Source organism: Homo sapiens, chromosome 2 (assembly GCF_000001405.40).
Source record: "Homo sapiens chromosome 2, GRCh38.p14 Primary Assembly".
Classification (NCBI taxonomy): domain Eukaryota; kingdom Metazoa; phylum Chordata; class Mammalia; order Primates; family Hominidae; genus Homo; species Homo sapiens.
Genome location: NC_000002.12, coordinates 241,616,615 through 241,629,467, shown reverse-complemented (window position 1 = coordinate 241,629,467; position 12,853 = coordinate 241,616,615). Strand labels below are relative to the sequence as shown.

Sequence of the window (12,853 nt, the reverse complement as noted above, 5' to 3'; positions counted from 1 at the left end):
ACAGGGCTTTGCTCTGTCACCCAGGCTGGAGTGTGGTGGTCCTATCACAGCTCACTGCAGCCTTGACCTCCTGGGCTCAAGCCATCCTCCCACCTCAGCCTCTCGAGTAGCTGGGACTACAGGCACATACCACCACATCCGGCTAATTTTTAAAATTTTTTGTAGCAATAGGGTCTTACTATGTTGCCTGGGCTGGTCTTGAACCCTTGGCTTCAAGGGATCTTCCCGTCTCAGCCTCCCAAAGCTCTGGGTTTATAATTGTGAGCCACTGTGCCCAGCCCATCTTTCAGTTTTAAAAACAAACACGTGAGCCCCTCTTTGTGTAACTGTTGAGAGCTGATCGGTCCTGTGTGCCACCTTCCCTAGGTGGAGGCTGTATGTCATCTTAGTTCCGGTGCTTCTTATTCCCCCATCAAGCAACCATGATTATTAGATTGAAGTATACATTTTACTGGTTACTTTATTTACCATTGTTTGCTGTATCCAAGTTTCCCCTCCTTTTTGGCAGTATTTAATGACTTTTTTTTTTTTTTTTTTTTTTTGAGACAATCTCAGACTGGAGTGCAGTGGCATGATCTCGTCTTACTGCGGCCACGACCCCCTGGGCTCCAGCGATCCTCTCACCTGAGCCTCCTGAGTAGCTGGGACTACAGGCATGTGCCATCATGCCCGGCTAATTTTTTGTGTGTTTTTTTGTTTTTTTGTTTTTTTTGTTTTTTGTTTTTTTTTTTGTAGAGATGGGGTTTTGCCATGTTGGCCAGGTAAGCCACCGCACCCAGCCATGACTTTAAAAAAAAAAAATCCTATTCCAGTACAGTTTTGAGGGGGGCGCTGGTGACTGTTGTGGCAGTCCCAGGGTAGATGGCGATGGCTCAGACTTTAGGGAGGAAGTGGCGGTGGTAGCAATGCTGGAGTACTGGCTGGGTTCAGGGGGTTGAGAGGCAAAAGATCAGCAGGCCAGCTACAGGGATTAGGCTTGAGCACCTGGAGGATGCTAAGTGGGAGAGGCTTTTGGGGAGGAGCAGGAGATGGGGGTGAGGAACGGAGTTTGAGATGCTCTTGGGTGCTGAGGCCAGAGTTTGAACAGGCAGTCTGAGGCCAGCAGCTGGCCTCTGGGATTTGGGCATGTGAGTGTGGGGGTGGAGGGCAGAGGTGTTTGAAGCCTTGGGGGGTCGAGTGTGGTTCTAGGCTGGGCTTCAGTGCCCGGCCCAGGAGCAGGCCTCGCTGAGAGAGGGGCAGCCGAGGCGGGTCCAGGGGAAGGCTGAGGGGTTGTTCAGGAAAGAAGGGTGACTTGCTGTGCTGGGTGCTACTCTGACCAGAATGGAGAGAAGGGGGCTGGATGTGCCCCAGGATAGTGGAGAGAAGGGGGTTGGATGTGCTCCCAGGGTCGCTGGTTACTGGAATCTCACTGGAGAGGCTGGTGGAGCTGGGCGGAGAGGGGGCCAGTGATGAGGGGTCAGGGCCAGGTTTGGCCGTGAAGTGGAGTGAGGCAAGTAGACAGGAGCCAGAGGGAGTGTGGCTCCAAAGAGAGTGTGTCAGTGGGGAGGGCTGTGAAGGGCCAGGCTCTGGAGAGCAAGGGACAGGTGCAGGCACCACCCTGCATGCCTTGTGCCCCTCCAAAGGTGAGGCCAGGCCACGGCTGGGCATGCGGTGTGGGCACAGGGGTGGCAGGAGCGAGGGTGTGGTGGGGAGAGGACATCCTCTCCCTGGGGTTGCAGTCTGTCACGCCGGCGTCGCAGGCCCTGGGGTCTGCACTCTGTGGTTCTTGCTGTCCGTGTGGATTTGTTCTTCAGTGACAGACTCTTTGGGTCATTCTTTAGGGATTTATGTGGAAAGCGCCGCACACTTGTCTATTCAGCTCGCTAGCCAGTGTCTGCTTTTGGGCAGGTTCCCCAAACTGAAGGATGCGGGCCAGTGGGCTTCAGAGGTGGGTTGAAGCCACGCTCCAGAGGCAGTGCCCGGTGGCGTTCTGTGGACGTAGTGTTCTTCTCCGCCAGCAGCGATTCCTTGAGGGTACATTGTTAGCACGTCTATGAACCACGTGTTCGCGGTCTTGCTTGCCCACTGAGTTATAAACGTTCTTGATACAGTAAGGATACCAACGCCTGTTAAATATTATTCACCTGTTTCCTAAGTTCAGCAATTTAACACTTGCTTCAAAATCTGTTTTCTTTTTATTCCTTTATGGATTCATTATCTACATATAATTCTTGAAATCTGGATTGTCAAAATCCAAGTACAAAACAAGTGAACCTTAATGTAAACTATGGACCCTATTTGTAGCAATGAATCAGTATTGGTTCGTAACTTGAGACACACATACCCACACTAATGCAAGATGTTAATCATAGGGGAACAGGGCAGGGGGTGAGAGGGTGAAGGAATTCTCTGTACTACCTGCTGGATTTTTCTGTCCTAAAAACAATCTGTTAATAAATAATAAATGGAAGCTGAAGAGTTTGGAGAAGTGCAGACAAAACAGGAATGTCAGAAGAGTGATAAATGGTGAAACTAGGGACATGTGTGTGGATTTATTACACTAATCTGTTTAATTTGTAATGTTCAAGATTTTTCACAATATAAAGTTGTTCAAAAATCCAGATTAGCTGGGCTCAGTGACTCATGCCTGTAATCCCAACACTTTGGGAGGCCGAGGCAGGCAGATCACTTAAGGTCAAGAGTTTGAGACCAGCCTGGCCAACAGGGTGAAGCCCTGTCTCTACTAAAAATACAAAAATTAGCTGGGCATGGTGACACGTGCCTGTAATCCCAGCTTCTCAGGAGGCTGAGGCAGGAGGATCACTTGAACCCGGGAGGTGGAGGTTGCAGTGAGTCGAGATCACGCCACTGCACTCCATCCTGGGTGACAGAGCGAGACTCCGTCTAAAAAAAAAAAACAAAAACTGTTAAGAAATAGCAGAAATAATAACAGTGTTTTTTTTCCTCCTTATGATGTGAGCTGTAGTACTTTGTTGTTGTTTTTTGGTTTTTGTTTTTTTGTTTTGTTTTGTTTTTGTTTTTGTTTTGAGACGTAGTTTCGCTCTTGTTGCCCAGGCTAGAGTGCAATGGCGATATCTAGGCTCACTGCAACCTCCGACTCCCTGGTTAAAGCAATTCTCCTGCCTCAGCCTCCCAAGTAGCTGGGATTACAGGCATGTGCCACCATGTCCAGCTAATTTTTGTATTTTTAGTAGAGATGGGATTTCACCATGTTGGCCAGGCTGGTCTCGATCTCCTGACCTCATGATCTGCCCGCCTCAGCCTCCCAAAGTGCTGGGATTACAGGCGTGAGCCACCAAGCTGTAGTTTTTTTATATGTCCTTTATCAAGTTGACAGAATTCCCATTTATTCCTGTTGCTGAGAGCTGTTATCATGAATGGGATGTTGGAATGTGTCAGATGATTTTTTTGCACCTATTAATGTGATCCTGTGATTTACGGTCAGATGATTTGCCTGTTGATGTGACGGGTTACGTTAATCAATTTTAGAGCACAGAGCCAGCCTTGCATACCTGGAATAGATCTCACTGGGTCATGGCAAATAATTCTTTTTATACATTTTTTTTATTCAATCGCAAATGTTTTCTTAGAGATTTTTGCATCTGTGTTCATGAGAGATATTTGTCTGTAGTTTTCTTTTTTCTTTTTTTTTTTTTTTTTTTTTTTTTTTGAGACGGAGTCTTGCTCTGTTGCCCAGGCTGGAGTGCAGTGGCACGATCTCAGCTCACTGCAAAAACCACCTCCCGGGTTCAAGCAATTCTCCTGCCTCAGCCTCCCTAGTAGCTGGGACCACAGGCGCCCGCCATGACGCCCGGCTAATTTTTTGTATTTTTTAGTAGAGACGGGATTTCACTGTGTTAGCCATGGATGGTCTCGATCTCCTGACCTCGTGATCTGCCTGCCTCACCCTCCCAAAATGCTGGGATTACAGGCGTGATCCACACACCTGGACTCTTTTTCCTTTTTCCTTTTTTTTTTTTTTTTTTGAGACAGTGTCTCACTCTGTCACCCAGGCTGGAGTGCATAGTACAGAGGTGTGACCTCGGCTCACTGCTGCCTCAACCTCCTCGGCTCAGGTGACCCACCTGCCACAGCCTTTCGAGTAGCTGGGACTATGGACACGTGCCGTCACACTGGCTAGTTTTTTAATATTTTTGTACAGACAGGGTCCCAGCCTGTTGCCCAGGCTGGTCTCGAACTCCTGGGTCCAAGTGATTCTCCCAGCTTGGCCTCTGAAAGTGTTGGGACTACAGGTGTGAGCCACCACACCCGGCCTGTAGTTTTCTTGTAGTGTGCGTGTTTTGGTATTAGGGCCCTGCTGGACACACAGAATGAGTTAGGAAGCATTTCCTCTGCTACTGTTTTCTGGTTTCATTTCTTCCTTGAATGCTTGGTAAAATCCACCAATGAAGCTAGCAGGGCTTGGTGCTTTCTGTTTTGGAAAGCTATTAATTATTCCATTTCTTTAATAGATGCTGTGACATAATAAAAAAATATATTTAGTCTCTGCCCCAGAATATGGCCCAGAGCTCCTAAAACCCTTGTCGTCTCCTGAGCAAAATGGCGCTCCGACCACCTTCCGTTCTCATAGTCGGTCTTTGCTCTGTTCGTCATACAGAGCTCCTAATCCCTTGGAATGTTCTAATAAAGTGATTCTTGGGGGGCTCCCAGATGAGGGCTGCTCACCAGAAAGACCAAGCCATAAACAGAAGCTAGGGGCTTTGAGCCCCACCCCCTCCATCCTGCAGGAAGAGGAATGGGGTAGAGTTAATAATTGATCATGCCTATGTAATTAAGCCTCCATGAAAACTTCAGAACTACAGAATTTGGAGAGCTTCCAGGTTGGTGAACACATCTGTGTGCTGGATGAGGTGATGGTGCACCCCAACTCCACAGGGACAGACGCCCCTTGCCCGAGACCCTTCCAGACCTCTCCCTGAGCTCTTCCTCTGACTGTTTATTTGTATCTTTTTTTTTTTTTTGAGAAAGAGTCTCACTGTGTTGCCAGGCTGGAGTACAGTGGCGCGATCTCGGCTCATTGCAACCTCTGCCCCCTGGGTTCAAGCGATTCTCCTGCCTCAGCCTCCTGAGTAGCTGGGAGTACAGGCACGCGCCACCACACCCAGCTAATTTTTTGTATTTTTAGTAGAGACTGTGTTTCACCTTGTTAGCCAGGATGGTCTCGATCTCCTGACCTCGTGATCTGCCCGCCTCAGCCTCCCACAGTGCTGGGATTATAGGCGTGAGCCACCACGCCTGGCTATTTGTGTCTTTTAAAATATCCTTTGTAATAAATTGGTATTAGTAAATAAACTCTTTTTCTGGGTTCTGAGAGCCTCCTAGCAGATTATCAAACCCAGGGAAAGGGCTGTGGGAAGCCTGGATTTGTAGCCAGGTGGGGCAGAGGCTGTGAGTAACCTGGGACCCACTACTTGCCATCGTCCTCAGATGGGGGCAGTCTTGTGGGACTGAGCCCTTAACCTGTGGGATGTGCACGAACTCCAGTTCGTGTCAGAACTGAATTGACGTGCAGGACACCCAAATGGTATCAGAGAATTGGTCAGTGTGGGAAAAGACCTGCATGTGGCCACAGAAGTGTCCTGAGTGTGCGTATAGAGAAAGAGATTGTTTTTTTCCATATATTCAATATAGGCCTGTTCAGATTATCTATTTCTTCTTGTGTGAGTTTTGGTGGAGGTATCTTTCAGAGAATTGGTCCATCTCATCTATATGATTAAATTTGTGGGCATGGAAGTGTTTATGATACTGCTCTATTAAGCTTTTAATGGCCATGGGATTAACAGTGATTGACCCCCTCCCTTCTTTTTTTTTTAAATGATATCAATAATTTGTACCTTCTCTCTTTTTTTTTTTCCTTTTTTCTTTCTTGAGACAGGGTCTTGCTCTGACACCCAGGCTGAAGGGCACTGGTATGATTTTGGCTCACCGCAACCTCCGCCTCCTGAGCTGAGGTGATCCTCCCACTTAGCCTCCTAAGTAGGTGGGACTACAGATGCGTGCCACCATGCCCTGCTAATTTTTGTATGTTTTGTAGAGACAGGGTTTTGCCATGTTGCCCAAGCTGGTCTGGAACTCCTGAGCTCAAGCTATCTGCCTGGCTCAGCCTCCCAAAGTGCTGGGATTACAGACGTGAGCCACCATGCTGGCCTATCCCTTTACTTTTAATCTATGTTTTTATATTCAAAGTGGGGTTTTTTTGTTGTTGTTTTATTTTTATTATTATTATTATTTTTGACAGAGTCTCACTGTGTCACCAGGCTGGAGTGCTGTGGTGCAACGTTGGCTCACTGCAGCCTCCGACTCCCTGGTTCAAGTGATTCAGGAGGCCTTAGCCTCCTGAGTAGCTGGGATTACAGGCATGCACTACCACACCCAGCTAATTTTTGTATTTTTAGTAGAGACGGGGTTTCACCATGTTGGCCAGGGTGGTCTCGATCTCCTGACATTGTGATCCGCCCGCCTCGGCCTCCCAAAGTGCTGGGATTACAGCCGTGAGCCACCGTGCCTGGCCTCAAAGTGGGTTTCTTATAGTCAACATATATTCAGGGCCAGGTGAGGTGGCTCACACCTGTAATCTCAGCTTTGAGAGGCTGAGGTGTGAGGATTGCTTGAGCCCAGGAGTTTGAGACCAGCCTGGGCAACATAGTGAGACCCCATCTCTACAAAAAAAAATAAGAAAATTAGCTAGGCATGGTGATGCACACCTGTAGTCCCAGCTTCACAGGAGGCTGAGGTAGGAGGATCGCTTGAGCCCCGGAGGTTGAAGCTGCAGTGAGCCGTAATTATGCCACTGCACTCCAGCCTGGGAAACAGAACAAAACCCTATCTCAAAAAAAGAAAACTTTTTTTTTGTTTGTTTTCTGTTAGGTCAATTAAGAATAAGAAAAGATTTTATTTTACCTTCACTTACTTCTCTCTGATGCTCTCCCTTTTTTTACATACATTTTAGTTTCTGACGTATATCATATTCCTTCTCCCTGAAGAACTTTTAATATTTCTCAAAGGGAAGAGGTACTGCCAGTGAATTCTCTGTTTTTATTTAAAGAAATTTTTTTGTTTGTTTTTTGTTTTGTTTTGTTTGAGACAGAGCCTTGCTCTGTCGCCAGGCTGGGGTGCAGTGGCGTGATCATCTCAGCTCATTGCAACCTCCACCTCCCATGCTCAAGCAATTCTCCTGCCTCAGCCTTCTAAGTAGCTGGGATCACAGGCGCCCGCCACCAGCCCCAGTGTCGTATTTTTAGTAGAGACAGGGATTCACCACGTTGGCCAGACTGGTCTCGAACTCCTGACCTCAGGCGATCCACCCGCCTTGGCCTCCCAAAGTGTTGGGATTACAGGCGTGAGCCACCGCGCCCGCGTAAATAAGTCTTTATATTGAGTTTCTTTTTCAGAGATTTAGAAAAAAATGGGAAAAAAGTAAGTTCTTTACTTCTCCTTTGCACCCGAAGAATAGTTTCACTGGATGTAGAGTTGCACGTTTTTGGTTTGGTTTGGTTTTTTTTTTTGCTTGCGTGGTTTCTGACAAGTCTGCTGTAATTCTTATTCTTTCTGCTCTACATGTAAGGATTTTTTTTCCTTTTGATTCTCTTAGTCTTTGGTTTTCTGCAGTTTGAGTATGACATGCCTATGTGTAGATTCTTTGGTATTTATCTTGCTTGATGTTTTCCGAGCTTCCTGGATCTGTGGTTTGGTGTCATCGATAATTTTGGAAAACTCTGAACTATGGTTAATTCAAATACTTCTGCTCCTTTTATCTCTTTCTGGCATTCCCATTATGCTCATGTAACACTTTTGCCCCACAATTCTCCAATATTCTGATTTTTTTTTTCCGTTTTTTTCTCTTTGCATTTCAGTTTGGGAAGTTTCTATTGACATATCTTCAACTCAGTGATTCTTTCTTCAGCCATATCCATCCTATTGATGAGCCCTTAGAGATTCTTCATTTCAGTTAGCATTTTTGGTTTGCAGCAATTTCCTTTTTGTTCTTTTGTCCATCACTCCTCTTACATTGCCCATGTTTTCTTGCCTATCACCCACTTTTTCCATTAGAGCCCTTAGCATATTAATTGTACTGATTTTATTATTATTACTATTATTTTGAGATGGAGTCTTGCTCTGTTGCCCAGGCTGGAGTGCAGTGGCACAGTCTCGGCTCACTGCAACCTCTGCTTCCTGGGCTCAAGCAATTCTCCTACCTCAGCCTCCCGAGTAGATGGGATTACAGGCACCCGCCACCACGCCCAGCTAATTTTTGTATTTTTAGTAGAGATGGGGTTTCACCATGTTGGCCAGGCTGGTCTCGAACTCCTGACCTCAAGTGATCCACCCACCTTGGCCTCCCAAAGTGCTGGGATTACAGAGGTGAGCCACTGTCCCCAAACTAACCAGTAATTTTAATTTCTCCGTGTGGTAATTCTAAAATCTCTGCCGTACCTGAGTCTGGTTCTGATGCTCACTCTCTCTCTTCAGATTTTTTTTTTTGCCTTTTAGCATGTCTCGTTATTTTTGGTTGCAAAGTAGACATGAAATATCAGATCCAGCCGTGTGCTACATGATGATGTTTTGGTCAATGACAGACCACATACACCATGGTAGTCCCGTAAGATTATAATGGAGCTGAGAGAGTCCTGTCACCTAGTGACATTGTAGCCATTGTAACATCGTAGTACAATTTTTTTTAATCGATTTAGTGTAGCCTCTGTGCAGTATTGAGAAAGTCTACCATAGTGTACAGTCATCTCCCAGGCCTTTGCATTCACTCACCGCCGCAGTCACTGCCTCAGTCACCGACTCACTCACCCCTCACTCACTGACTCACTCACCCCTCACTCATCCCTCACTCACTGACTCACTCACCCTTCACCCCTCACTCACCGACTCACTCACTCCTGACTCACTCACCCCTCAGTCACCGACTCACTCACCCCTCACTCACTCCTCACTCACCCCTCACTCACTCCTCACTCACCAACTCACTCACCCCTCACTCATCCCTCACTCACTGACTCACTCACCCCTCACCCCTCACTCACCGACTCACTCTCCCCTCACTCACTGACTCACTCACCCCTCACCCCTCACTCACCGACTCACTCACCCCTCACTCACTGACTCACTCACCGACTCACTCACCCCTCACTCACGACTCACTCACCCCTCACTCACGACTCACTCACCCCTCACCCCTCACTCACTCCTCACTCACTCCTCACCCCTCACTCACCGACTCACTCACCCCTCACTCACTCCTCACCCCTCACTCACCGACTCACTCACCCCTCACTCACCGACTCACTCACCCCTCACCCCTCACTCACCGACTCACTTACCCCTCACCCCTCACTCACCGACTCACTCACCCCTCACTCACGACTCACTCACCCCTCACTCACCCCTCACTCACTCCTCACTCACCAACTCACCCCTCACTCATCCCTCACTCACTGACTCACTCACCCCTCACTCACCGACTCACTCACCCCTCACCCCTCACTCAATGACTCACTCACCCCTCACCCCTCACTCACCCCTCATTCACCCCTCACTCACGACTCACCCCTCACTCACCCCTCACTCACCGACTCCTCACTCACCCCTCACTCACCCCTCACTCACGACTCACAACTCACTCACCCCTCACTCACGACTCACGCACCCCTCACTCACCGACTCACTCACCCCTCACTCACCAACTCACTCACCCCTCACTCACCCCTCACCGACTCACTCACCCTTCACTCACCGACTCACTCACCCCTCACCCCTCACTTACCAACTTACTCACCAACTCACCCAGAGCAACTGCCCATGCTGCACACTCCAGTGCTGGTAAGTGCCTTATGCAGGTGAACCATTTTTTGTCTCTTATGCCATATTTTTACTGTAGGTTTTCTATGTTTAGATGTGTTTTAGGTACACACACCCTTGGCACTGTGTTACAACTGCCTACAGTATTCAGTAACACACTGGGGTGTGTAGCCTGGGAGCACAGGCTGTGCCATACAGCCTAGGTGCGTGGTACGCGGTAAGTGCACTCTGTGACGTTTGTACAATGATGAACTTGCCTCATGACGTGTTTGTCAACGCATCCCCCATCAGTAAGTGCTGCTTGACTGAAAGGTGAAGTAAGTGTGCCTTGTTTGGAGGGCATCCATCCCCTTAACCTGGCTGGCACTCGGGCTGTGTTTAATCCTGCAGTGGCTGTAAAATTCCTCGAGTGTCCTTGTTTTGTCTCCCTGTTGTCGTGGAGTTTCTCCGAGCATGCCTTCCACAGCCTGCGCCTGGGCCCTTTCCACTCCCACCCAGGATGTTATGCTGGAGCCTGCAGGGCTGGGAGGGGAAGCAGGCTCCAGCCTGTGACTCGATTTAAGCCCTTCAGTGGCCCGTGTCCCTGAGCCGTGACCTTCACACGTGTCTTTCCCTTTCTCCTCCCCGCTTGGGTGAGACGGAAGACTGGTGGGGCTGGAGCAGTGAAATGCCCTTCCCAGCTGAGATGAGGTCCTGGTGAAGTCAGCTTCGCTACAGAGCAGGCCTGGCCTTTGCCTGGAGAACGCTCTGGGCTCATTTCAAGGTGGTCACCTCCCCCTCCTCATCCCAGAGACATGAGGTGTTTTTTTTTTTCTTGGCTTTTCGTGGGGAGAACCTGATGGGGTTCCTGGAGGTGAAACCTATGAAAATGTAGGACCCCAGGAGATTCTCACACCTGCCATGTTCAGCCTCCAGCATTTTGTCCAAATCAAGTTCCCACCAGTTCCTTCCCCTGTAGACTGTAGATTCTGCTCCACGTGAGCTGATCTCACTGCTATTCTCTGTGGCAGGAGAGACATCTGTGACCTCACTTCCTTATGGATCCAAGAAAAGTTGTTGATTTTCACTTCTTTCAGTGTTTTTTGCTGTTGTTTTAAGGCTGTGGTATATGACTCCTAAGCTCTTTACATGTGAGAGTGGAAACCGGAAGCTTACTCCCCACCCATTATTTTTCGGTTATTGCTAGCGTGTGGGAAAGCTACCCATTTTAGTAATTGGCCATCTTATCAAATTCACTTGTAGATTCTAATAGTTCTTCAATTGAGACTCAGATTAACGAGGAAATCAAACATAACATTTGCAAATTATTTGTATCCACTTTATGGCCTTTTTATATTTTATAGAAATACTTGCTGTATTTTCTCTCCATCATGATTTCTGTTTTTCCCCTGGGCATGCAACTCCTTCCGTTTCATGGTTGATAAGTTGAGGGCCTTGATGTCACTTTAAAACAACAGTTCCCTGCTGGTATGCCTTGTCAGTGGACCCAAACATATCACGGTGTTCCTGGACAGCTCCTCCCCACCTTGGGACAGCTGGTGCGGGCCGCGCACCCTCAGCTTCCATGCACCCTGTTGTACTAAGCAGTAAGTGTCCCTTTCTGTGTGTGCCTTGGCAGGAAACAACGTGTCACTAACACAAAGAGATGTGAGGGTGGGAGCTCCAGGAAGGAGCCGTCCCCAGGTCCCAGTGGGTGCATTTGCTCACTTCCTGTCCTGGGTTCCCGGGCCGCTTGCCAGGAGACAGGACAGTCTCTGGAGCCTCCATGTCCAGGTGAAGATGAGTCTCCAGCCACCCTCTAGGAGACAGAAAAGGACATGCCAGGGGTGGCCAGAGGGACTGCTCTGGAGAGAGAAAGCATTTAGGATGTGCCTGTCTCTGTGGTGTTGCCTTCCTCTGCTGTAGCTGGTGGAGGAGGCTGAGGGTAGAAGCCGCACTCGTCACTCCGCCCAGACCTCTGGCCAGTCCCTCTTTCATAAAATTCACCTAACCTCCAAAGCTCCTTCCAGCTCTGAAATTCTGTGATCTGGGCTGTCATTGTCTTTTACTTTCTTCTGAGACGTGATCTTTCATAGTGGAACTACAATTCCCAGAATGCACCATTTAAAGTTAGCATTCACTTCCTGCAGAGCCATTAAGAGCCAGGTGCAAACATTTCCCGTCAATTGGCAGAAAACAACCTTGAGGAACCTTGACGAGTGTCCGGAGTTTAGAAAACTTAGGGATGGGTAAGCCTGCTTTCAGTGTCTTGGGCCAAAACATGAAAATTTAAATTTCTTGCAGGAAATTTAAATTTTTGTTTTTGTGTTTTGGTTGAGATTTCAATAAAAGAAAAATGAAATCAGAAAAGAAATGCCTAGAAAAGCCTGTCTGGTTTATTTAAAGAGGTGGAAAGTGACAAATAGACTAGGTCCTTTATAGTATTTTTTGTTTCATGTTTAAATTTATTTTTTTCTAATGAAGTATAATTTACAGAGAGTAAAATACACAGATATTGAGGTCACAGTTTGATGGATCTTAACATATATCTAGGCTCAAGTAACCTGATGTTTGGATTCTAAAATTCTCTTACTGGTCGTCCTCACCCCCACCCATGCTTCAGTGACAACAAGGAGGGACAGTGGCTAGGCTGCTGCCACGTTCCACGCGGCCCGAAGTGGTGGAGGGTGCAGGGGGAGCGGCCCCAGGAGCAGGTTAACCTGGTGAGGTGCAGTGTAGACAGAAGGAGGCGCCGCCGCTGCTTGTTTACTGCCTGACCTGTTGTCCCTGTCCAAATTAAACTCCATTAAGATTCAGAGCAAATAACAGCAAGCCAGGAGGGCGACAGGAAGGGAAGTATTTCTCACAGCCATTAGTTGCTCACAGCCGTAAGCCTCCATCTAGTTGCTTAGCCGCGTGCTCCTTCCTTTCCAGTCTGATGTTATTTTTTCTGCTCAAAAGCGTTTCTTCTGAATTTCAGAGCTATCTTAGAATTCTCTAGTTTTTTAAAAAGAAATTGCCACATAAGTGCTGCGTCCTGTCCTGT

General features: G+C 47.9%; 1 protein-coding gene across 5 annotated transcripts in view, besides 1 other annotated feature; it reads left to right on the top strand.

Moving 5' to 3' along the window:
• The window catches only part of THAP4 (THAP domain containing 4), a 53,172-nt gene that overhangs the window by 8,109 nt on the left and 32,210 nt on the right, over positions 1–12,853 (top strand). The window contains exon 1 of one of the 5 annotated variants that reach the window (NM_001164356.2): positions 11,976–12,056. The exons of the other annotated variants lie outside the window; for them this stretch is intronic. Within the exon in view, the coding sequence (NP_001157828.1) occupies positions 12,053–12,056 (4 nt within the window). The 5' untranslated portion in view covers positions 11,976–12,052. Of the gene's footprint in view, positions 1–11,975; positions 12,057–12,853 lie in introns of those variants that run through there. 5 annotated transcript variants of the gene reach the window in all.
• Positions 11,816–11,935: an enhancer, noted in NCBI's record as "active region_17429". NCBI's record gives its function as "activates an Ori minimal core promoter by ATAC-STARR-seq in GM12878 lymphoblastoid cells {active_cell/tissue: GM12878}" and the evidence as "EXISTENCE:reporter gene assay evidence [ECO:0000049][PMID:35858748]".